This window comes from Homo sapiens, chromosome 11 (genome assembly GCF_000001405.40).
Source record: "Homo sapiens chromosome 11, GRCh38.p14 Primary Assembly".
In the NCBI taxonomy this organism is placed as follows: domain Eukaryota; kingdom Metazoa; phylum Chordata; class Mammalia; order Primates; family Hominidae; genus Homo; species Homo sapiens.
The window spans coordinates 123,654,714-123,679,546 of NC_000011.10; the positions used below are offsets into that span (position 1 = coordinate 123,654,714).

Here is a 24,833-nt window from a genome sequence, read left to right on the forward strand (position 1 = left end):
CGGGGGCGGAGCCGGGAGCGGCGCAGACACTTCCAGCCGGGATATCTTTGCTCGCGCGCTCGCTGGTCTCTCCAGGTCTCCCTCTCGCGCCTCCGCACCTCCCCCGAGCTCGGGCGCACCGCCGCCCTCGGCTCACGCCCTCCAGGCAAACCCACTCCGCTCCCGCACGGACTTGCCGGGTGTAGCTCCGGGAAGAGAAGGGCCAGAGCTCTTTCAGGCAATGATGTCATCTGCAAGGCGCGCCGTACGCGGTTCCTGGCTTCGCCTCCCAGACCCCATGCCTTCCAGTTCTCGCTGTCTATCCTTTGTCTAGCCTTGATTAATTGGCCCCGGACACAGCAAACTCAGCAAGATAATCCCTGTTTAGGGCAAATGGGGTAGGGATGAGGCGCACCTGTTCCTGTCTTCACCTCATCACTCAGTGAGGTGATCCAAATGTCAGCGCAAGGGGAGGGGGGCCCAAGAGGACTCCTCTTCCCTTCCCCAGGTTCTTTGCAGTTCTCCCTTTTCCTTTAATTACTCCTTTTTAATAAAGCAGATAGATTGTGTTTGGCGTCTTCCAACTATTAGCCACTCCCTAGTCCTAGCAGCTGTTTGAGTGCCCCCGCCCCATCTCTGGAAGGGAAACCTGAAACTTTACATTCAACTATAAACTCAAATTGACATAACAGATTAGGAACGCCTGGAACTGAAGTAAAAGAGTAATCCAAGAGCCCTTCTTCAGCTTCCTTTTTCTCCTCTTCTGCTCTTTCCAAAAGGGGAAGCTTAACGCTGATATTCCAAAATGGAATAACAGAGCAACAGCTGACGGTGAGTGGACCAGAAGCAGGAAATGCTCCCTCCTGACATCTCACAGAGTAACAGAATGTCCCCAGTCGGATCTTCCTGGGCAGGGAGCCACCAGGCCATAAACTCTGTGCTGTTTGGAGGACTAGGCCTTGAAGCATGTATACTGTGTTAAATTTGGATGGGAAGTTAAAGTTGACCTAATTCAACCGCTTTTCCAATTTGTGACTTCCCCCAAGAACATTTCGGACGAATGGACTTGATTTTATTTATTTATTTATTTATTTATTTATTTATTTATTTATTGAGACGGGGTTTTGCTCTTCTTGCCCAGGCTGGAGTGCAATGGCGCGATCTTGGCTCACCGCAACCTCCGTCCCCCGGGTTCAAGTGATTCTCCTGTCTCAGCCTCCTGAGTAGCTGGGATTACAGGCATACGCTGCTACACCCGGCTAATTTTGTATTTTTAGTAGAGATGGGGTTTCTCCATGTTGGTCAGGATGGTCTCAAACTCACAACCTCAGGAGATCCACCCGCCTCGGCCTCCCAAAGTGCTGGGATTACAGGCATGAGCCACCGCGCCTGGCCTTGATCTTTTTAGTGATGAGAACTTTCTACATCACAAGTTCACCTCTTCTGATGCTTAAGGAAGTTCTTTATGTTCAGTTGAATTCCGTACACTCCTCCTCCCCCTCCAAACTCCATTAAGTGGCCCTAATGCTGTTTTCTCTTTAAAAGAGCTATGCTTCCTCACATCCGCCCTAAGACATTTTTGTTTGTGGCTACTCTTCCTTAGTTTCTTCCAATGTATTTTCTAGTAGTTTCCAATCCTGTACCACCCTGGCTGCTTTTTCAGAAGGACTTTCAGTTTCTCAGCATGATTCTCCAAGTGACGTCCAGAACAGGAACTGATGGTCCCTGTGTGGTCTGACCAGCATAAATCCAGTGGAATTATGGCTACATTTGCTTTGAAGGATATAACTAGTTAAATACATTTACAGCCACATCTTAGTCATAATCAGCTTATGTTCAATTAAAATCCCTGAGTATTCTTCACTTGACTTGTTGCAGAGTCATTGTGTCTTGTACAGGCAATTTTGGAAATTTTATTATGAAACTTTGCACTTATTGCTGTTAAAATTTATTAGTTTCAACCAGTTATCACACTGTGTTAATACTTTTATTGAATTCAGATTCAATCACCCAATATATCTCTCTTCTTTACCCTTGTTTCATCTCTAGGCTTGACAATCACATGATCCACACATGGATATTTAAAAAAAGAACCAATAGAAAAAAAGAAGAGATAGTCCTATGGCCTGCTTCTAAAGACCTCATTCTACCTTGACAATGAGCTACTAATTAACATTTTTGTTTGTTTGTTTGTTTTTTGAGACGGAGTTTCACTCTTGTTGCCCACGCTGGAGTGCAGTAGTGTGACCTCGGCTCGCTGAAACCTCCACCTCCCAGGTTCAAGCAATCATTCCGCCTCAGCCTCCCAAGTAGCTGGGATTACAGGTGCCCACTACCACACCCAGCTAATTTTTGAATTTTTAGTAGAGAGGGGGTTTCACCGTGTTGGCCAGGCTGATCTCAAACTCCTGACCTCAGGTGATCTGCCCGCCTTGGCCTCCCAAAGCACTGGGATTACAGGCATGAGCCACTGCACCTGGCCTAATTAAAATTCTTTAGAACAGTTGCTCAATCATAAAACCCAAACATAGCTCCCTATTTTTTATATGTACAGCATGAGACATTCTGAAAATTTAGAATAAAAGGAATCTGTGAGAGGAATTAGACATCTAGTCATCCACAGGAAAGAAATAGGATCAATGGCTTACACTAACACAAAAACAGATTTTCAGCAATACATTTCAAACCTTTCCAAAGTAGGACAAATTACCTTTCGTTACATCCAAGCAGTTGTTATCCAAACAACTGCTGGGATGTTTAGGAAGGAAAACCTGTAAAGGTTAGAAATTTGGAATAGATTATGTTAAAGTTCCTATCGTCTTTGAGGTTCTATGACTTTATTGAAAGCCTTACCAAGACTGAAATACACAGACAGACTGAAATATTTTCAGTCTGATAATTTTATCAACTACCACAGCAGGAATTGGCTCAGCTTTACAAAATTTTTCTTATGTCTATTCATGTGAATTGCTAATATTCATAATGTTGTTTTCTAATTGTTTATCAACCCCATTGTAAATAGTCACTGTCAGGATTTCACCTCTATTTTTCATATACCACTTCTTCCCTCTCCTGTATTGAAAATAGGAGCATTTAGTCTTTTCATTCTCCTGCTGTTTCCCTTGATTTTTGGCTGTCACTCTCAGTCACTTTTGCAAGTACCTTAAGTTCCCTGAAGTACTCTTGGCCTTGTTCTGAGAGTTTTAAAATCATTTAAATTAAGCTCTCCCTTCCTCTTTTCTGCCATTTTGGCTTCAATCCTTTCTCATTGTTGTTGACTTGGCCTCCCAATTTAATAATCATTCTCCCTTCACAGTTAATGGGTGAAACCATATGCTCTATTCTCCAAAGAGTAGACAGAACAGTCTTTGTATTCTAAAAGATGGGAACTTCTCTTGCTTAAAGCCCTTCCATGGCATCTCACTACACTGAAATAAAATCTAGACTTGTCACCATGGCCTAATGTTGGCCTTGTGCCCTGGCTATCTCTCCACACTCATTTCTACCACTCTCTGTCTTGTCCACCATGTTCCAATTACACTTAATTTTAAAGAAATGTACCTCATAGTTATCAAACTCTTCCCCACTATTAATATTTCCCATCATTATTATTATAGCCTTAGCATTTGATGTCCCCTCTTCCTGGAACATTCTTCATTCTATGGCTGGTTTCTTGTCATTTTGGTCTTGCCTCAAATGACTTCACCCTAGAGTGACATTCCCTGGTCACTCTAAGCTTGTTTCCTGCTACCTTCCTCACCTGAAGCTACTCTCTATCTCATCACCCTGTTTCTTGTTCTTCATATCTTCTCTCACTATCCAAAATTATCTTATTTTTAATATATGTACTTGCTTATTTTCTGTTCCTCCCATCAGGCTGGTTCTCCTTGGTGATAGATAGCAGCCTTGTTTGTTCTGTCTACTGCTGCCGTCCTGCACCTAGATCAGTGCCAAGCAGATATTAGGTCCTCTTCACAGAGGACACAAGTGAATGAATACACAAGGGAGTGAGAATAGTGTGGAAACAGTGAAGAGCTGAGGCCAGAATCAATAGGGGAACAGAAAACCAAGAGTCAGAGAAATAGGAAGAGACCCAGCAAGGTGCAATGCCATGGCAGGCCAGGGAAAAGAGGGTCTTTAGACTTAAGGACACTTCTCCTTTGAGGGGACTTTAGCTAATTATGCTCAGAGATTGAGGAAGAGGATGGAGTACAGAGCCTAGATATTCAGGGATCTTGAGGTGGAGGGAATGACATGACTCTGCTGAAGAAAGAATTGAATGGGAGCTATTCAGGGAGATGTTAGTTTTCTTGTGGAATGAAACACATTCACTGAGACTACTGGGGAGGAATTAGAGACAGGAGCAGTGGAAGTGACATTGTAAGTAAAGATAAGGTGTGGGACCTTAAGAGACACACAATGATCTTGGTAAAGTAGGAAGCCACATTTTCCATTGAGTGTAGGTGGTAGGGAGGTACAGGAGAACCCAGGACAAGGGAGACAGTCTGAATAACTGAGGGCACCTTCTTAAAGCATAGAAAAATGTCAAGAAAAGCTTTTCAAGATCAACATGTACCTGAACTCAGTCAAGATGCAAAAATCAGAGCCCAACCTAGGAAAGTCAAGTAACCTGCTTTTGCTATTCGAAGTGGATTTTGAAAAATAGTGCACACCCCATGGGACAAGGAAAGGGAAGAAATATGTTCATTTTAAACTGTGGCCAAAGAACACATATGGGACTGAGAGATATCAGGCTCTTCCAAATCATTCCCTCATCCTGCCAGCCAGCTGTGTGATGTTGTCACCAGGCAAGGGAAGTTTGGGATTAGAATAGGAAGCAGTGACATGATGATTAGATTATGCAATTCCTTCCTGGATTTGCAAATGGCACAGAACCTGGCAGGTAAGATGGGGCCAAAAAATGTTTGTTGAAATGAATTGGATGTCACCTGACTGATTGTGGAAGCCAACGCTTTCCTGACATCCAGAAGAGCCCTGCCCACCTCCATAACACCCTGTGCACAAAAGAAATGCCATCTGCTCTTGACCAATCTCTAGAAAGTCCATGGTTCTGCCTCAGCCAGAGCACTATTTATGTTTAGTTTTGATCACCCAAACGTGTAAATGGAAATAAAGAAAATATTATCAGTGATAAAGTACTTTATGCTACCCAGAAGCAAAGTTATAATATATTTCAAGTATTGTTATTAGCATGGCATAATTTTTTAATGCATTTCTGGCATGCATATGGCTGAAGCTCTTAGGATAGGCAGAAAGAAAAGATGTGTATTGTTTAATTTTTCACACTGCTATAAAGAACTGGCTGAAACTGGATGATTTATAAAGAAAAGAAGTCTAATTGACTCACAGTTCTGCATGGCTGGAGAGGCCTCAGGAAACTTACAATTATGGCAGAAGGCAAAGAGGAAGCAAGGCACGTCTTACATTGTGGCAGGAAGTGGGGTGGGGAACCACCACACACTTTTAAACCATCAGATTGTGTGAGAACTCACTCACTATCACGAGAACAGGGTGGAGGAAACTGCCCCCGTGATAAAATCACCTCCTACTAGGTCCCTCCCTTGACATGTGGGGATTACAATTTGAGATGAGATTTGGGTGGGGACACCAAAACAAATCATATCAAGATGTCTTGTAGAAATAAGCACAGTCATTATCTTTGGTGCTGATCAAAGTCCTGTTGTTGTTCCAAAGTTTTGGGCAACAGCAACATTGAGCCCTGATTGACTCAATGTTTATAAGCAATATTATTGAAGAAGAAAATGAAACCACAAAATGAGGGCCAGGTGGTAGACAGGAGGCCTGTGTCCCATGCTTAGTGCTGCTCTGAGATAGTATAGTATTGACCTTTTCACCTAATCTCTCTGAACAAATTCTCTCTCTAATTGTCTGCCTCCCAGAGTTGCTGGAAGCACAAGGGAGATAATACGAGTGTGTCTTGGATTTTGTCAAGTCCTATAAACCAAGAAGTGTTCAGTTCCTATTTAGATAATTTTTGAAAATCCTTACAGAGATAGGTTCAGCTGTTAACTTCAGCATAATGGGAAATAATCAGCTTTCATAATCTATCATTAATCTGTTATCATTTTCATCATTATCATTATATTTAAGGGCATGCATTGGCCCCAGAACAATGATATGCATATATTATTGATAAATTGATAAATTTATTTAATCATTCTAACAATTTTAAAAAGTAGGCACTATTAGAATTCTCCTTTTTTTTTTTTTTGAGGGAATAAATACAAGAGAAGTTAAATGACTTAGTTACTCAAGTGCATGGGCAGAACCATAATTGAAACCCGATTTTTTGTCTCCAAAAGCCTTAAGATCTTAATATCTTTCTTTAAGATCTTCATCATTGAAAGACACTTCCATGTGCACATCAGCCAGGAAGTTAACGACTTGTCGTATGTTGTGCAGTTCTCAAATGAGTGTGCTGTGTGTATTTATGTGTGAGAAAAAGTAGGAATAATTCCTTTACTCATAAAACTTCTAGTATGGTGGGAAAGTATAAAATCTAAGAAAATAGACATGGGAAAATCCAATATGTTTTGTGTTCTTTCTTTCTTTTTCTTTAGTGCTTAAAATTTGGAGATCTCACATGGATTAACATGAATGAAAACCTCTTAGTTGTTTTTCTGTTTTCTGTAAGCAACTGTTTAGCCTCATCTAATATAAAAGTTTTATTTTTAAGACACACTATGTATTAGTCTGTTTTCATGCTGCTGATAAAGACATACGTAAGGCTGGGCAATTTACAAAAGAAGGAGGTTTACTAGACTTACAGTTCCACATGGCTGGGGAGGTCTCACAATCATGGCAGAAGGCAAGGAGGAGCAAGTCATGTCTTACGTGTATGGCAGCAGCCAGAGAGCTTGTGCAGGGAAACTCCAATTTTAAAGCCATCAAATCTCGTGAGGCTCATTCACTATCACAAGATCAGCACAGGAAATACCCACCCCAATAATTCAATCACATCCAACTGGGTTCCTCCCACAACACATGGGAATTGTGGGAGTTACAATTCAATAAGAGATTTGGGTGGGGACACAGAAAACCATATCATTCTGCCCCCTGGCCTCTCCCAAACCTCATGTCCTCACATTTCAAAACCAATCATGCCTTCCCAACAGTCCCCCAAACTCTTAACTCATTTCAGCATTAGCTGAAAAGTCCATAGTCCAAAGTCTCATTTGAGACAAGGCAAGTCCCTTCTGCCTATGAGCCTGTAAAATCAAAAGCAAGTTAGTTACTTCCTAGATACAATGAGGGTAGAGGCATTGGGTAAATACAGCCATTCCAAATGGGAGAAACTGGCCAATACAAAGGGCTACAGGCCCTATGCAAGTCATAAATCCAGCAGGGCAGTCAAATCTTAAAGTTTCAAAATGACCTCCTTTGACTCCATGTCTTACATCCTGGTCACGCTGATGCAAGATGTAGGTACCCATGGTTTTGGGCAGCTCTGTCCCTGTGCCTTTGCAGGGTACAGCCTCCCTCCCAGCTGCTTTCATGGGCTGGCTTTGTGTCTGTGGCTTCTGCAGGTGCACAGTGCAAGCTGTCAGTGGATCTACCATTCTGGGGTCTGGAGGATGGTGGCCTTGTCTTCCAGGACAGGTGTGTCCCATTTCCTCTGCATGATTGTAGGAAGCACTCCTTACAATTTTCCCTTTCTAAGCATTTATTCCATGACTTAACCCACCACCACTACAACTGCCATCACTCAGATATACCAAAACTTGGGTAAATAATTATCTTTCTTGTTTATATTGATCTTTTCCAAGCTCACATTTATTTCCATTTCTACTATTGGAAGTGATTTGGGGCTGGGCACAGTGGCTCACGCATCCATCTGTGGTAGGGGACCATCTCAGGTGGATGGTCCCCTAGTAGGGACTCTGTGTGGGAGCTCTGACCCCACATTTCCCTTCTGCACTGCCCTAGCAGAGGTTCTCCATGAGAGCCCCACCCCTCCAACAAACTTCTTTCTGGACATCCAGGCATTTCCATATATCCTCTGAAATCTAGGTGGAGGTTCCCAAACCCCAGTTCTTGACTTCTGTGTACTTGCAGGCTCAACACCATGTGGAAGCTGCCAAGGCTTGGGGCTGGCACCCCATGAAGCCACAGCCTGAGCTCTACATCAGCCCCTTTCAGCCACAGCTAGAGCAGCTGGAACACAGGACACCAAGTCCCTAGGTTGCACACAGCATGGGACCCTGGACCTAGCCCATGAAACCACTTTTTCCTCCTAGGCCTCAGGCCCTTTGATGGGAGGGGCTGCCATGGAGACCTCTGACATGCCCTGGAGACATTTTTCCCATTGTCTTGGGAAATAATACTCTGCTTCTCACTACTTGTGCAAATTTCTGCAGCCAGCTTGGATTTCTCCTCAGAAAATGGCATTTCCTTTTCTATCATATTGTCAGGCTGCAAATTTTTCAAACTTTTATGCTCTGCTTTCCTTCCAAAACTGAATTCCTTTAACAGCATCCAAGTCAAATCTTGAATGCTTTGCTGATTAGAAATTTCTTCTACCACATATCCTAAATCATCTCTCTCAAGTTCAAAGTTCCACAGATCTCTAAGGCAGAGGCAAAATGCCTCCAGTCTCTTTGCAAAAACGTAACAAGAGTCACCTTTGCTCCAGTTCCCAACAAGTTCCTCATCTCCATCCTGGATTTCGTTATCCATAACATTATCAGCATTTTGGTCAAAGCCATTCAACAAGTCTCTAGAGAGTTTCAAACTTTGCCACATTTTCCTGTCTTCTTCTGAGCCCTCCAAACTGTTCCAACCTCTGCCTGTTACCCAGTTCCAAAGTTGCTTCCACGTTTTCAAGTATTTTTTCAGCAACATCTCACTCTACTGGTACCAATTTACCATATTAGTCCATTTTCACACTGCTGATAAAGACATACCTGAGACTGGGCAATTTACTAAGGAAAGAGGTTTATTAGACTTACAGTTCCACATGGCTGGGGAGGCTTCACAATCATGGTGGAAGGCAAGGCAGAGCAAGTCACGTCTTACATGGATGGCAGCAGTCAAAGAGAGAACTTGCGCAGGCAAACTCCCATTTTTAAAGCCATCAGGTCTTGTGAGACTCATTCATATCACAAGAACAGTGCAGGAACATTCTGGGGTCTGGAGGATGCCCTCATAATTCAATCACCTCCTACTGGGTTCCTCCCATGATACATGGGAACTGTAGGAGTTACAATTCAAGATGAGATTTGGGTGAGGACACAGCCAAACCATATCACACAATGTATTATTTTATTTAATTTTCATGTTATACTTGTGAGATATAAAAGACTATTAATCTATTTTTTTTTTTTTTTTTTTTGAGACGGAGTCTCGCTCTGTCGCCCAGGCTGGAGTGCAGTGGCGGGATCTCGGCTCACTGCAAGCTCTGCCTCCTGGGTTCACGCCATTCTCCTGCCTCAGCCTCCCAAGTAGCTGGGACTACAGGCACCCGCCACTACGCCCAGCTAATTTTTTGTATTTTTAGTAGAGACGGGGTTTCACCGTTTTTAGCCGGGATGGTCTCGATCTCCTGACCTCGTGATCCGCCCGCCTCGGCCTCCCAAAGTGCTGGGATTACAGGCGTGAGCCACTGCGCCCGGCCTATTAATCTATTTTAAAGGTGGCAAAACTGATATCTAGAGAGAGATTAAGTGACTTGTGTACTATTACACTTCATTCATTCATTCAGAAAACTTTTACGGAGTGCCTACTGTATGCCAGGTACTGTCTTAGTCTCTGGCTTTAATTTTCTTTAACAATAACTGTGAAATAGTGTGGTAAGAGCTATTGTATACAGGTGTCCTGGAAGATAAAGTCATAGCTTTGGGGCCTGGGGAGAGTACCGTTGTAAAAACTTCAAAAGAGGTAACATTTGAGAATTACCTGGAAAGGATAAGTAGAATTTCCCAAAGAGAAGGAATGGTAGATTGGGAGTTATTGGCTGTTTTGAGAGACTCACCTTCTTGATGCAGTTGGTACTCTCATGATTCTTAATTTGGGGCATTTTTCACCAAGTGACACTGCCATTTTCAAGTAAGATTGTGATTTGGAGTAGCTGAATAGAGCAATGGAAAAGAGTGATAGCTTTGGGCCACACAGATTTATCCTGAACACTCTGCTTGTTACTTGGGGAAAGTTATTTAATTCCTCTGAGCCTCAGTTTCTTCAGACATAAAATGAGAATATTAATACTACCTATTTTGTGGTTATTTATGAGGATTAAATAAGTTAAATGTATGTCACCTGGCACAATGCCTGACCCTTAGCATAAACTTAATAAATATTAGTTTATTTCCCTTCTGTATAAATAAAGAGTTGGCACTATTGCTACCTTTATTTATATATTTTTTTAGGAAATTAAACTCAAGAGAAGTTCAATGACTTGGTCATTTAACTTATATGTGGCAGAGCCACCCATTCTTCATTTTCTATTCTTTGATTTCTCTCAGTCACCACTCTCATGAAACCAGATTTCCCAGCAGCCGTATGGCCAGGAAAGGCCTTGTACACCAACCCCAGGATGAAAAGAGGAAAGAGAAGGGCCTCTTTAACTAGGCTATCTGAAACAGAAACATAATCTAAGAGTTATTGCATTTCAGTAAGTACTTGCAAGACAACATGACTATACCTAATGTTTGGGTAAGACATAGTGCCGGACTTTGTATTTCAGAATGATTAATGAGGCATGCTGAAAAAAGCCTGACTGAGATGAATTATTTCATCCTGCTATCAGACCTATTCTTCCCTGCTCCCACTCCCTGAAGGTGACACCTCCCATACCTCCCACAGCATACACTCCTATTTTTGTCAAACAGCTTGTAACTGGATGCTTTGGGGTCTGTCCCTATCACTAGGCTGTGGTCTGCCCTCTAGAGCAAAAAATTGCATTCAGAATCCCAACATGAAGATTTGAAAACACACTCCCCCTTGCTACTGTGGTAAAGATGGCCCCACTTTTTCTATGTCCTCCACATTTTAAGGAGTGGCAATAGGAACTCAGTCACCTCCTAAGTGAATGAGAAACCTGTATAAGAGGGTGGGGATGAGTAACATAAATACATTTTTTCTCTGGGTAAGAGGGTTTTGAATTTCCCAGGGAAATTAGGAAAATTTTTATCTGAAGGGCCTGCAGAATGAAGCAAAATACCTGGAAAATGGTATAAAGACATTCATAATCTACAGTGAGGGCAACACACCAGTTGTGACAAGGTGGCACATTCACAAATAGTAATGATACAGAGCAGATCAAGGTAAGATATATGGGATCAGAGGACAAGTTATACCCCCAAACAGTAAAAGATACATGAAGAAGGTGTATTTTAAATAGGCCCTGGTTGGGCACAGTGACCAAGGTGGGCAGATTGCTTGAACTCAGGAATTTGAGACCAGCCTGGGGAACATGGCAAAACACCATATGGACAAAAAATACAAAAGTTATCCAGGCATAGTGGCACATGCCTGTGGTCCCAGCTACTTGGGTGGCTGGGGTGTGAGGGTTGTTTTAGCCCAGAATTTCAAGGCTGCAGCGAGCTGAGATCAGGCCACTGCACTCCAGCCTGGGTGACAGAATGAGACCTTGTCTAAAAAAATTAAAATTAAAAAAGTAAAATAAAACAGGTCCTGAAGCAAGGATAGGATTTCTACAAGATGTAAAAGCATGACATTCTTGGCAGGAAAAAAAAAAAACACCAACAAAAGCATAGAAGCAGAAAAGTTTCAGGTCTGAGCTGGTGAAAGTAGATGATATACTTTATCTGAACATTGGAAACATTTAGAGAAATAATAGTGATTAATGCTGGAAAGATAAGTAAGTAGTCTTAATGCTTATTAAGGAGTTTGGACTTAGTTTGATAGATAACTGGGAGCTGTGAGTAAGGTGATCTGAAATGAGTTAGGAAAAATTAATCTGGCAGAATAGGAAACATGGCATGAAGAAAATTAGGACAAATGTTTGCAGTAGCCATAGTAAGAGGGAAGGAGAACCTGGTGTAAGGCAGTGTGAAATGGAGACATCTGATCCTAAAGAAAATGTGAGGGTGCAATACATTGGATTTGGCAACTGATAAGATATGAGGCAAAAGAGGAAATGTCACTCTAGTTGTGGTAGATTGGGAAAATTTTTTATACTACTGATACCACATTATGTATAAAAAGTTATGCCATTTAGCATATGGAAGCTACAGAGAAGATAGCAGGATTGGTGATTTGGGGGAAAAAGTGACAGATCTTGTTTGGCATATTTTGGGTTTCAGATACTGATAGATTGTCTGAAAATTTAAGTCAGGTCCTCAGAAAAAATAAGGGCTGGCAATTCAGATTTGAGAGTCATCCATACACAGTGATAATCAAAGTAATGGAAATGGATGATATTTAAAAGAGAATATAAAGAGATAGAAAGTCTGAGAGCCAGGCGCAGTAGCTCATACCTGTAATCCCAGCACTTTGGGAGGCTGAGGCAGGTGGATCACTTGAGCCCAGGAGGTTGAGACCAGCCTGGGCAACATAGTGAGACCCCATCTCTACAAAAAGTAAAAAAAAAAATAGCTGGGTGTGGTGGCACTCACCTATAGTCCCAACTACTAGGAGGCTAAGGTTGGGGCATTGCTTGAGCCTGGGAGGCTGAGGTTGCAGTGAGCCATGATTACACACACCATTGCACTTCAGCCTCAGTGACAGAGAGACACCCTGTCTTAAAAAAAAAAAAGTTTGAGAATACTTGAATTTAGGAGGGAGAGGAAGCCGTAGAGCCAGTAACAGAGACAGAAAAAAAAAATGATCAAAGTGACAGGATGATATGGTTTGGCTGTGTCCCCACCCAAATCTCATCTTGAATTCCCACGTGTTGTGGGAGGGACCCAGTGAGAGGTAATTGAATCATGAGAGTGGGTCTTTCCCCTGCTGTTCTCGTGATACTGAATAAGTCTTACAAGATCTGATGGTTTTATAAGGGGGAGTTTCCCTGCACAAGCTCTCTCTTTGCCTGCTGCCATCTGTGTAAGACGTGACTTTCTCCTCCTTGCCTTCTGCCATGATTGTGAGGCCTCCCCAGCCACATGGAACTGTAAGTCCATTAAACTTCTTTTTTTTTTGTACGTTTCCCAGTCTTGGGTATGTCTTTCTCAGCAATGTGAGAACAGACTAAATCACAGTAGGAGATCAAAACAGTGCTGCATTAGGGAGTAAAGAGAGAGAATGTTCCATGTCAGCAGGGAGTTCTGCAGCAGAGAATTGATTGGGGGAATAATTGGCTAGGAGACTTAGTAACTAGGAAATCACTGATGACCTTAGGAGGACTGTAGTTGGAGGGAGTGAGGGACAATTACATAATGGAAGATGTTAAGTAAGAAGTGTTGGTGCAAACCTAGTGGATGTGATTGGTTTAACTATAATTTCAAAGCCTCTGATAGTGGGAATGGAAGAGAGATTGGAAAATGATGAGACTTTGGAATAAGTAAGGGTTTCCTTAGAGAAGGTTATATAGACAAAAGCTGAGACATTAACTCAGAAGGAAAGTTGGAAGACGTGACAGAAGCGAGGTAACTGATGGAGGAGCACAGTTCCAAGGAGGAAGAAGGAACTTGAATCAAGAGCAATGCCCGAGGGATTAACCTCAGATTTAAGGGAGGAGGAGGAAAAAGAGGAAAGATACACAGAGATGCTGAAGTGGAAAGAAAATAATTTGAAGTTATCAAATGTGAAAGAATATGTCTCATTAAAACAGGAAATAAAGTCATCTGCTTTGAGTGGGGAGCTGAACAGAATCAGGGCCTTGTGCAGAATAAGAGAGAGATGGAAAAGTCTCTGGGAAGTGAGGTGATGGATTGATTAAAGGTGAAGGAAAGCAGTGAGCATCAGTAAACCCAACAAAGAACAGATTCAGGGTGGATCCAGTTAAAACAGTTTCACAATTTTCTCCAATAACAGTTTGCAACCATTCTTGAAGGCTGCAGACTTGGCAGACTTGGCAAGGTGGAACAGGAGAAATACAAAGTATGGAGCTGATATGGTTTGGCTGTGTCCCCACACAAAGTCTTATCTTGGATTGTAATCCCCATAATCTCCACATGTCAAGGGAGAGCCCAAGTGGAGGTAATTGAATCATGGGGGTGGTTTCCCCCATGCTGTTGTCACGATAGTGAGTTCTCAGGAGATCCGATGGTTTTATAAGTGTTTGGTAGTTCCTCCTGCGTTCATTCTCCTTCCTGCTGCCTTGTGAAGAAGGTGCCTTGCTGCTGCCATTATTGTAAGTTTCCTGAGGCCTCCTCAGCCATGCTGAACTGTGAGTCAATTAAACCTCTTTCCTTTATAAATTATGCAGTCTCAGGCAGTTCTTTATAGCAGTATGATAAAAGACTAATACAGGAGCCATCCTAGGGTGGTAGTGAATATGTTTGTGAAATGGTTAATAATATGCCAAGCCTGATAGATGTGATAGAAAAGGAGAATAGAGGATCATAGTGTGACTGATGGTGAAAATAAAAATAGAGATGCCTTTAGGGCTGGCAAGCAATTGAGTGAGGAGGAAGGAAAGTTGATGATGGTAAGAGAGGATATTTGGGGGTTGGCATCTTTAATTTTGAGCCATGGTGAAGGATAAGCAAGTCTATGTTTTAGAGTTCTTGCTAAGTGACTGAGGTGCATTGCAGGTGGAGGGCACTGGAGTTCAGGACATCAGGAATACATAATTGTTAACGTTTATACATTTCTCTACAAATTTGAGTTATTTTTCAAGAAGGAAATAATACTGCTAGTTTTTTTTTTAAATCAATAAAAGCAACACTGATACATTATAGCATTCCAAGGAACAAAACAGAGGGAGAAATTTCAGGTTCACATCCAGGTCAGTAAGTCAGCAATTCCTTACTGAACTCACGTATGTTTTGCTGGACTGGATTGAAAGTTATTGGATGTTTGGCAGTTCTCTGGAATAAAAAGAAAAGAAAAAGAAAAGGTGAGGCGAGAATATGGGAAGCATTATTGGCATGGATAACTGGCATTCCCCATGGTGATGGTGGGAGAAGGGAGGACAGCCATTTTTCATGTCACTGAGTAAGAGATTATAGGGAAGCTGGTAGAGAACTCTGAGGATGGTGCAGAAAGAGTGACAAAGTGACTTGTATGAACTCCACAAAAGAAGAGCTGGCTGAGTCCTGTGGCCACAACTATGGTCTGAATATGGGCATGGGGGCAAGGATAATGAATTCTTCTCTTCCTGGAGCAAAGAAGGAGGTAGAATATATGGCCTCCTTTGAGGGGATTACAAGGAGTTCAGTATTGTTGAGAGCAGGGGAGGGGGCAAGAAAAGGCTCAGTGAATAGAAGTGAAGGACAGACAAGTCAAAATCAGGGAAGAGTTTGTTCATAAAAGGACAAAGCTGACTTCAAATAACATCATGGTTCCTCTGCAACTGGCATTTATGATGTGTAAATATAGGCCAAATAAATAAGTAACTGCATTGTCAGCGATCCCAAAGGGCCTTGAAGGCCTTGAGAGAGGAATCAAATCTCAGAGGGAGAAGATGCCTCCTGTTTTTATGCAGAAGAGAGGAGACACACCCTTGGCCCTGTTTTTGTGTGTAACTGAAGTGGAAGCTAGGAGTAAGGAAGTGGCTGCTTTTTAAAATCTCATCCCTAATAAGCCAATGCTTTGGTCTTTATCTTCTGGACCAGAGGGAAAAGGGATGAAAAGATTTCATCATTTTTCTGAAACAGACCAAGTGAGGGTGATTTTTGGTTTTTAGAGTAAATTGACAAGAACCTTAGATTCCTTTAAGTTCTACTTTCCAAAATCAAGAAGTGGCTTAAAAACACAAAAACAAACCCTAAACCATATAAAGATTATAGGCTTGCCTAAAAAAAAGTGGGGGGGGGCGGGGGGCGGGGGCTAAAGAATCTAATTCATACTCTGGCATTAAAAATTGGATTACAGTGCCAGGTTCATTGCGAATGCCATATACATGTTTGCTATTAACATTTTATTTTATTAATTGATTGATTGATTCCCCAGTGTATTTCTCAAAAACATTTTATTTATAACTGATATTTACTAGCCTCTAAATTGTGGAGCATTACATATATTATCTCATTTAATTCTCACAACAACTCTAAGAGGTATGCGTTATTGTTATGCCCATTTTACTTACTGAGAAACTGAAGTGCAGGGTGGCCAGGTAAAGTTGGCGAAGTCACATGGCTAACAAGTGGAGAATCTGAGATTGAAGTTCAAGTTTGTCTGATTCCAGCGGCAGCATGCTTACTACACTATCTTACACCAACTTTTTTGTGCCAAGAAATGTTATAGTCCAGAGGAAATAAACACAGGGTGAGGTAACATGACAATAGGATAAACTCGGATTTATGCTAAGGAAGAGCTTCTTGAGCGTTTGGAAGACACTAGAAATCGAAGATAGATACATCTTCCTGGAGTTGTTGTCAGCAGGAATAAGGCAGAATGACAGCTAGAAATCTGTCCCAACCTCATCTCCTCTGTGAATCTGTCCCCTGGCCAGGGCAATTTCCAGCGAGCTTTCTCCTGTTTGAATGCAGCCCCAAGAACATATCCCAGTTTCCACTGTAAATCCTGAGTTGAAAATGGCATCGGGAGGCACATGCCAGCACCCTCCTGCAAATGCCAGCTAGTCTTTCCTTGGCATCCCAAGTACATCATCCACTGGCTTCTGCTCCATCATTTCTCAGCAATGTAGAATATATAATTTTATTATTTAATAAATAAATGTATTTATTTCGCTTCAGGATGTGGAGCTGAGAAGCCCCGATTTCCACTTTCTGACTCCTAGACTCAGCTGATTTGAACCCCTCAGTGGAATAGCAGCAGCCCATCCGCAGCTTTCCTAGAAGTTCCTGACCTAGTAGCCTGAAATGCATTCTAATCAAGTGAGGTAAGATGAACATCCCCTGCAGCTTTATTTAGATTCGCTCAAAAAGTCACTCGCTGCTCTCAATTTGCATGAATGTCTGTTCCCAACTAGACAAGGCTGTGGCTGGAAGACTCCCCGTGAGCCAGGGAATTGAAGCTGCCTCTGCAAGCTGAATTCGTAATTGCCATGAGAAGGCAACAGCATCAAATCCTCCAGCGTGCCAATTCTTTAGGCGACGGACGAATTGACAACTCCTCACCTTACATAGGCACCAACTGACTGTTGGTCTTTGCCCAGCTCTGGGTTTGTACCTGCCCTTCTGCCCACAGCGATGGTGTCATTTTGACCTTGATCTGGGAATTGCTGTTCTTGTCAGCCTGTTGGCTCCCTCTGTTGAGGGAGACAGCTCTTTTGAGTGTCCAGGAGATGGAAGTACAAAGGTGGACAAATATCTACACTCGGAAGGCAGACAATAGTACCCCCCAATTTCTGTTTGCACATAGGTGAGAGCAAGAAAAAAAGGAGAATACATTGTAAAGAGTTTTAGTTCAGACACAATATGAAAGCACTTGATTCTAATGTTATTTTTTTAAAATTCAACTAAACACATGTAGGACAAATATAGAACCATATCCTAGAGTTTGTTTTTTACTTTTTCTTTTTGAGAAGGAGTCTTGCTCAGTCGCCCGGGCTGGAGTGCAGTGGCGCGATCTCAGCTCACTGCAAGCTCCTCCTCCCGGGTTCACGCCATTCTCCGGCCTCAGCCTCCCAAGTAGCTGGGACTACAGGCGCCCGCCTCCACACCCGGCTAATTTTTTTCTATTTTTCGGTCTCCTGACCTTGTGATCGGCCCGCCTCGGCCTCCCAAAGTGCTGGGATTACAGGCGTGAGCCACCACACCCGGCCTAGCGTGGTTTTTAAAGAGCTTTATTATCCTGCTTTTTAAAACTTTAATACATTTTCCAAATTTCTACAAAGAGAACATATCTCAACAAAATTAGGAAAAAATGCAAATGAGAAAAGACGGATACTCAAGTGCAGCTCAGTTCAGTCCAGTGCCAGCTGGCCAGGCCTTTTGCGGCAGGCAGCCTATAAAGATGCTCTATAAAGATACTGCACGCCTGGGTCTGGATTCTCCAGGGAGCAGGTGGCTCAGAGAGAGCATCAGTGACAAGAGCAAGGCAGATGGTGGGAAGGCGAGGGTGTGGGTGCCACACGGTGGCATCTCACACACTTCTGTTCATTCCATAAACAGGTTTAGTAAGCACCATTTCCTGGGGGAAAGTCTACTTCTGGAAAGAATTGTCTATTGGAAATGAAGATCTTTCCCTGCTGCAGAATAGGCTTAAAGAAACAAGTGCAGGCAGACAAGAGGGTCCTCCAGACCATGTGCCTAGCCAAAACTTTTTTTGTTGTTAATAGAGACAGGTTCTCACTATGTTGCCCAGGCTAGTCCCAAACTCCTGGGCTCAAGTGATCCTCCTGCCTTGGCCTTGCAAAGTGCTGGGATTACAGGTGTGAGCCACCATAGCTGTCCTGGCCTAAACTTAATAGTAAATCTACATCTGTATTCCGGAAAACCTATCAGAATAACCTAAAGTGTTAGAGCTTGTGGAAAAAGGCAATGTCAAAAAAAGAAAAAAAATGAAATAATATAAAATAAAGAATAACTCTAAGTGAAGTAAAAATATTAGTAATGATAATAATATGTAATGAATGCTAATTCTATACTGGGCAGAGAGTATTATTTTATTTAACCTTTACACCAACCTTTTGAAGTAAATGCCATTGTTACTATGTCCGTGTTACAGATGAAGAAACTGAGGATTAATGAGCTTGAGTCACTTGCTCAAGGCCCCATAATTGCTAAGGATCAAAGCCCTGTCTGCTCTGGGTGGGACTCCAAAGTCAGTGCTTTTGTTCAAAATATTACTCTGTTCTTCTGAGAGTAAGAGAGGCTTGGGCCAGGCATGGTGGCTCACGCCTGTAATCCCAGCACTTTGGGAGGCTGAGATGGGAGGGTCACTTGAGCCCAGGAGTTCAAAACCAGCCTGGGCAACATAGTGAGAGCCCCCATCTCTAAAAAATTAAAATAAAAAATAAAATTTTGGCCAGGCACAGTGGCTCATGCCTGTAATCCCAGCACTTTGGGAGGTGGAGGCAGGTGGATCACTTGAGGTCAGGAGTTCGAGACAGTCTGGCCAACATGGTGAAACGCTGTCTCTACTAAAAATACAAAAATTAGCCTGGTGTGGTGGCACATGCCTGTACTCCCAGCTACTCAGGAGGCTGAGGCATGAGAATCGCTTGAACCCAGGAGGTGGAGGTCGCAGTGAGCCAAGATCACGCCACTGCACTCCAGCCTAGGTGACAGAGCAAGAGTCATCTCAAAAAAAAAAAAAAGACTTAAATAAAAAACAGAATAAGTGAAACGGGCTTTGTTCTCTCATCCAATGGTTGAATTCTTTCTAAAACCAATAGTTCAGATAATAGCTAACTCACCTGCAAGGTGGTCCATGCACCATCTGGCTACTTTAAGAGAGTTAGTAGAAAGTGATGATAGGCTGAGAGTGGTGGCTTGCCCCTGTAGTCCCAGCAATTTGGGAGGCACAGGTGGGAGGATCATTTGAGCCCAAGAGTTTGAGACCAGCTTAGACAACATAACGAGATCCCATCTCAATTTCTAATTAAAAAAGAGGAAGTGACGCTAAATATTTTTATAGGTAAAAGTTTTAATTTGATCTTTTTTTGGTCCAGGTAACTTGGATTCATCATATGCTTTTTCTCCTGGACAATCAGTCAACACAATTATTCAGTACCTCATCTGTAAACTGCACTGTGTCATCGCTGTGGTTAGTGCTAAAGAAATGTGAAGTATGTCCTTTGTTCTCAAGGATCTTATGAAATACCTGGGCAAACAAAACTAACAACCTGAATTATGTTGTATCATACTACTGTTAAAATCCTTCAATGGCTCTCTATTATAATTAGCATACTGTGTTCAATAAGGCTTCTTTCATTCCCCATCCCATCCCCTTAGCATTTTTTTTTTTTTTTTTGAGAGATGGAATCTTGCTCTGTGGCCCAGGCTGGAGTGCAGTGGTGCGATCTCAGCTCACTGCAACCTCCACCTCATGGGTTCAAGCGATTCTCCTGCCTCAGCTTCCCAACTAGCTGGGACTACAGGCATGTGCCACCATGCCCAGTTAATTTTTGTATTTTTAGTAGAGACGGGGTTTCACTATATGTTGGTCAGGCTGGTCTCAAACTCCTGACTTCAGGTGAGCCGCCCACCTCGGCCTCCCAAAGTGCCGGGATTACAGGCGTGAGCCACCGTGCCTGGCCTCCTTAGCGTTTATCTCTATGTTTGAAGGCTGTTTTATGTGTACACCTGTAACTTTCTGCTCTTGGGCTTGTTTTTCTGGCCACGAGTATGCTAATCCTGCACAGGGCCAGCTGTAAGTAACAGAGAGTTAATGCCTGACAGTGAAGGGATTTGGTTAATAATGAGCTCATGTCCATCCATGGTGTCACAAATGACAGCATTTTTTTTAATGGGTGAATAGTATTTCATTGTGTATATATACCACATTTTCTTTATTCATTTGCTGTTGGATACTTAGGTTGATTCTATATCTTGGCTTTTGTAAATAGCACTGAAATAAACATGGACATACAGATATGTCTTCAATATACTGTTTTCCTTTCCTTTGAATATGTACCCATCAGTGGGATTGCTGGATCACATGGTAGTTGTATATTTAATTTTTTGAGGAACCACAGTGGGGTGAAGTTGGTTTGAACAGCAGGGTATTGTATATTACAAAATAGCTAGAAGGGGGGCTTTTGAATGCCCTTATCACAAAGAAATAATACATGCATAAGGAGATGGATATGCTAGATACCCTGATTTGATCATTTTACAACATAGATATGCATTGACACATCAAATTGTACTCCATAAATACGTACAACTGCAATTTTAAAAGTAATGAAATTATACATTGAAAAATAAAACAGCCCAGCTTCCCGGCCTCCTGGGTGCGTGTTCTACTTATACTACTTTTTGGAGTTTCTCAGAGGGATTGAGACGCAGGTGCAGCCTGTTCAATGACACACCTTTTATTGGCTTCATTTTCTTTCTTCTCGGTCCCACTGCCATATCTTCTAAATAAACTGTGGCTGCTCAAACTTGTCTCAGGACTTGCTTCTGGGAGGGTCCAACCTATGTCAAAGGCTCTGTGTGGTCTGGTTCATGCCTACCTCCCAACCTCAATTCACGCCATGACATTTTGCTCATTGCGTTCCAGCCACACTGGCTTTTCAAGTTGTTTACACCTGTTCTCTCCCTATGACATGTTATTTTTTCTTCTTTACATGATTGGCTCTTTCTGATCCTTCACATCTGTGCTTAAATGTTACACCAAGGAGGATGTCTTTCACAACCCCAGTCAAACATAGTCTTCCATGTTCCAACCTGGTCTTTGCATTCACAGCATTTACCACCCCTTATTACTGTACACGTGTCTGTGTGTTACTGATATGTGATCTGCTTCCCGCTTGAAAACAGTAAAAAAAGTTCCTCGAGGGCAGAAACACATCTGTTTTCTTTACTATTTTATATGCAGAGTTTAGTACAGGGTCTGAAAAAATAGTTTGCATTCACTACATATTTGTTGAATGAACATAAAATACCAGAATATAAAACAATTTGAGAACAACTAAGTAGGCTCTGAGTGGTGTTGGATAGAGTGAAACTGGAAAAAAGGAGAGAAGTTAGGGAGGGCATTGTATGGAACTGCCCTCAGCCTTTAGAAGTAAGTAGGATTTATAGATGAAGTGTGGCATTGGCTGAGCACCTGTTATGTGCTGGCATGCTAAGCATTCTAATAATAGGCATTACATAATGTAATCTTTACAACTTTGCAACCTGGCAAAAAGTATTCCAATTTTTAAAATGGAGGCATTTAGATATGAGAGATGAAGTAATTCACCCGTAGCCACAAAGCTAGTAATGATTAGTGCCACTCTTTAAACCCAGGTCTTCCTGTTACCAAAGTACATTTTCTTTTCAGTACTATTTCAAAATGTGGGTGTTGATTATACAAATCACCAGGTGACAAAGTGTGGATGAAGTAGAGCAAACCATTATCCCCCCTGAGAAAAAAGAAAGCATTTGACCCAGCAAGCATAATCAGTTACATAATTTCTGTTACATCATGCATGATGAATTGAAAGCATTTTGGGAACAGCAAGTGTGTTAAAAGTGCAGAGACTATGTTTCCACATCTATGAACATGGTAATTGTGACATTTGCCTTGCTTACTTCATTGGATTGCTTGGTACTCAAATGTGAAAACATATATGAAAGTGCTGTGTAAATTTCTAAATTCCTTATAAGGGCAATTGTTACAACTATCTTGTCTCTCTAAATATCATCTAAAATCACCCAGCATGCATATATTATTAGAAAATAGCAATGAGGGTGGGTGCGGTAGCTCACACCTCTAATCCCAGCACTTTGAGAAGCCAAGGTGGGTGGATCACTTGAGGCCAGGAGTTTAAGACCAGCCTGGCCAATATAGTGAAACGCTGTCTGTACTAAAAATACAAAAATTAGCTGGGCGTGATGGTGCATGCCTGTAATCCCAGTTACTCGGGAGGCTGAGCCACATGAATTGCTTGAACCCGGGAGAGGCAGAGGTTGCAGTGAGCTGTGATCACACCAGTACACTCCAGCTTGGGCAACAGAGTGAGACTCTGTCTCTATATAAATAAATAAATGGAAAATAGCAATGAAGAAGTTTCATGCTTTGAGTAAAATTATAGAATGAGGGGTGGAAAAGACACTAACAAATACTTTAGTTCATCCACCTGATTCTATAATTCTATAAAGATGTACCAAAATACCCAGAAAGGAAGCTCTAGAACAACACTTTAATGAATTATGTGAACAAAATGTCTTAATACTGAATGTTTTCTACAGTAAAAAGAACCACGAAATTTTATAGACACTAAAGTTAGACTGATAATGTTTAGGGAATACATCCCCTGAGAAAAAATTCTTTGGGAATTAGCTGAGTTGTCACTTTCCATTTTCCTTGTTTTTTGATTAATAAATTTTAAAATATGGAGTAGAGAAACACCTAACTTAATAGTCTGTCAAAGTAAAAAGGGAGCAAAGTGATGATTCTTTTCTTCTAAATTCCCAGCTTTTAACACCTACCAGTACCAGATCCACAGATAACAGCTGACCACAAGGCAATTGTCATCGTGTTTGTTTTTCATCTCTCAGAAGGTCCTATGGCTCTCCGTGTATTTCTACATTCTTCTCTGGGTGTGTACTTAATGTCACTTGCTTCCAACTGCACACTCCTTGAGGGTTGCTCTAGATGATACTATGTCAACTTGGTCAAGTGGGGAACTATATTTCCCAGAATTCCCTACCTGATGTGGTTCCAGTTTAGAGTTGACCAAAAGAACAATGTGCATGCGATTTGGGATGTCAGAGTGATGCAACAGCCATTCCTCTCAGAAGTTCATCACAGTCAGACATGTTGTCAGACAGACAAAGAGATGAGTACCTTGTGGGTCTTAGGTGGTTCTGGCCCTCCTCTGCTCTGCATTCAGCTTGTCCTCCAGACTGTGGGCCCCGATGACCAACAGCAGCTCCAGGCTGTGCACCCACAGAGGCAGTAGTTAACATAAGGCCAAAATTTCCCACAGACCTCTCCGCAAGTTTCTCTTTTGTGTCCCCACTTTAGCTGCTGGACATGATTGTCTCTCACAATTTCCTGCATGCCCCTACTTGTCTGCCTATGCCAGCACTTTGGGCAGACTTGTTTAGTGTCTCTTTTTTTTCTGATTGTGCAACTCCTCCTTCCAGATGTTCATTTCCTTAGTGCCTTCTACTTTGGTATCTCATTCCTGTAACAAAATTTAATGTCTAACAGAGCTCTAATTTAAAAAAAATGTTTTTAGTCTCTGTCTCTTAGGGTAAACTGCAGTGGCACAATCATAGCTCACTGCAGCCTTCAACTCCAGGGCTCAAGCAATCTTCCTGCTGGGACTACAGGTGTGCATCACCATGCCTGGGTAATTTTTTTAATTAATTTTTTTTGTAGAGATGAGATCTTGCTATGTTGCCCAGGGTAGCCTTGAATTCCTGGACTCAAGAGATCCTCCTGCCTCAGCCTCCCAAGTAGCTGGGACAACAGGTGCATGCCACCACACCTGGATAATTTTTAATTTTTTTTTTAGAGACAAGGTCTCTAAAAAATGTTGCCCAGGCTGGTCTGGTCTTGAACTCCTGGCCTCAAGTGATCCTTCTACCTCAGCCACTTGAGTCACTGGTCTAATTTCTATAATAGGTCTTTTATATCCATAACACTCACGGTTGTTTTCCTTCTCTGCCTGAATTCTGACAGTTTATTGGTACTGAATGTGATTCTAGAGAAGCAGAACTTGAAGGATGAGAATCTGAATCTCTTCTCTGGTCTGGCTGAACTGAAAGCCATCAATGACTGTTGTCATGGGTAGATAAGATACCAGAAGTCAAGGACATATCATAGCATAACACTTACTTAGTTACCATCTGTGGTTAGCTGCAGTGAAGGGTTTATAGAAGGCAAGGCTCTGGATGGTCAATAACATGTTGCCATAGAACATTTAAATGTCAATAAAGGCCTGTGGTGGTGATTGGCTTCTTCTAATTTCTCTGGAGGAGTTAGAGAAGGAAAATAGTGAGGTCAGGGCTTAAATTCCCAGCTCAAGGTCCAAGTAAAGAACCAGAGAGTCTCTGTGACTTCCATAAAATAACCTGTATCTACTATAGCCTCAGGTTAAGGTTTCTGAAAATCAATCCCAAAGTTTAATCCTTTGAGTGGCTGAATTACAACATAAATTGAATTCACAGCCTCACAGA

General features: G+C 42.1%; 1 long non-coding RNA gene across 1 annotated transcript in view, besides 1 other annotated feature; it reads left to right on the forward strand.

The window, feature by feature from the left end:
• Positions 1-154: part of a silencer, noted in NCBI's record as "silent region_4021", that runs on past the window's edge. NCBI's record gives its function as "represses an Ori minimal core promoter by ATAC-STARR-seq in GM12878 lymphoblastoid cells {active_cell/tissue: GM12878}" and the evidence as "EXISTENCE:reporter gene assay evidence [ECO:0000049][PMID:35858748]".
• The window catches only part of LOC105369543 (uncharacterized), a 19,316-nt gene extending 1,029 nt beyond the window's left edge, over positions 1-18,287 (forward strand). The window contains exons 2-3 of the long non-coding RNA XR_948124.4: positions 16,785-16,930; positions 17,021-18,287. This is a non-coding gene — a long non-coding RNA (uncharacterized LOC105369543). The remainder of the gene's footprint in view (positions 1-16,784; positions 16,931-17,020) is intronic.
• The last annotated feature ends 6,546 nt before the right edge of the window (positions 18,288-24,833 follow it).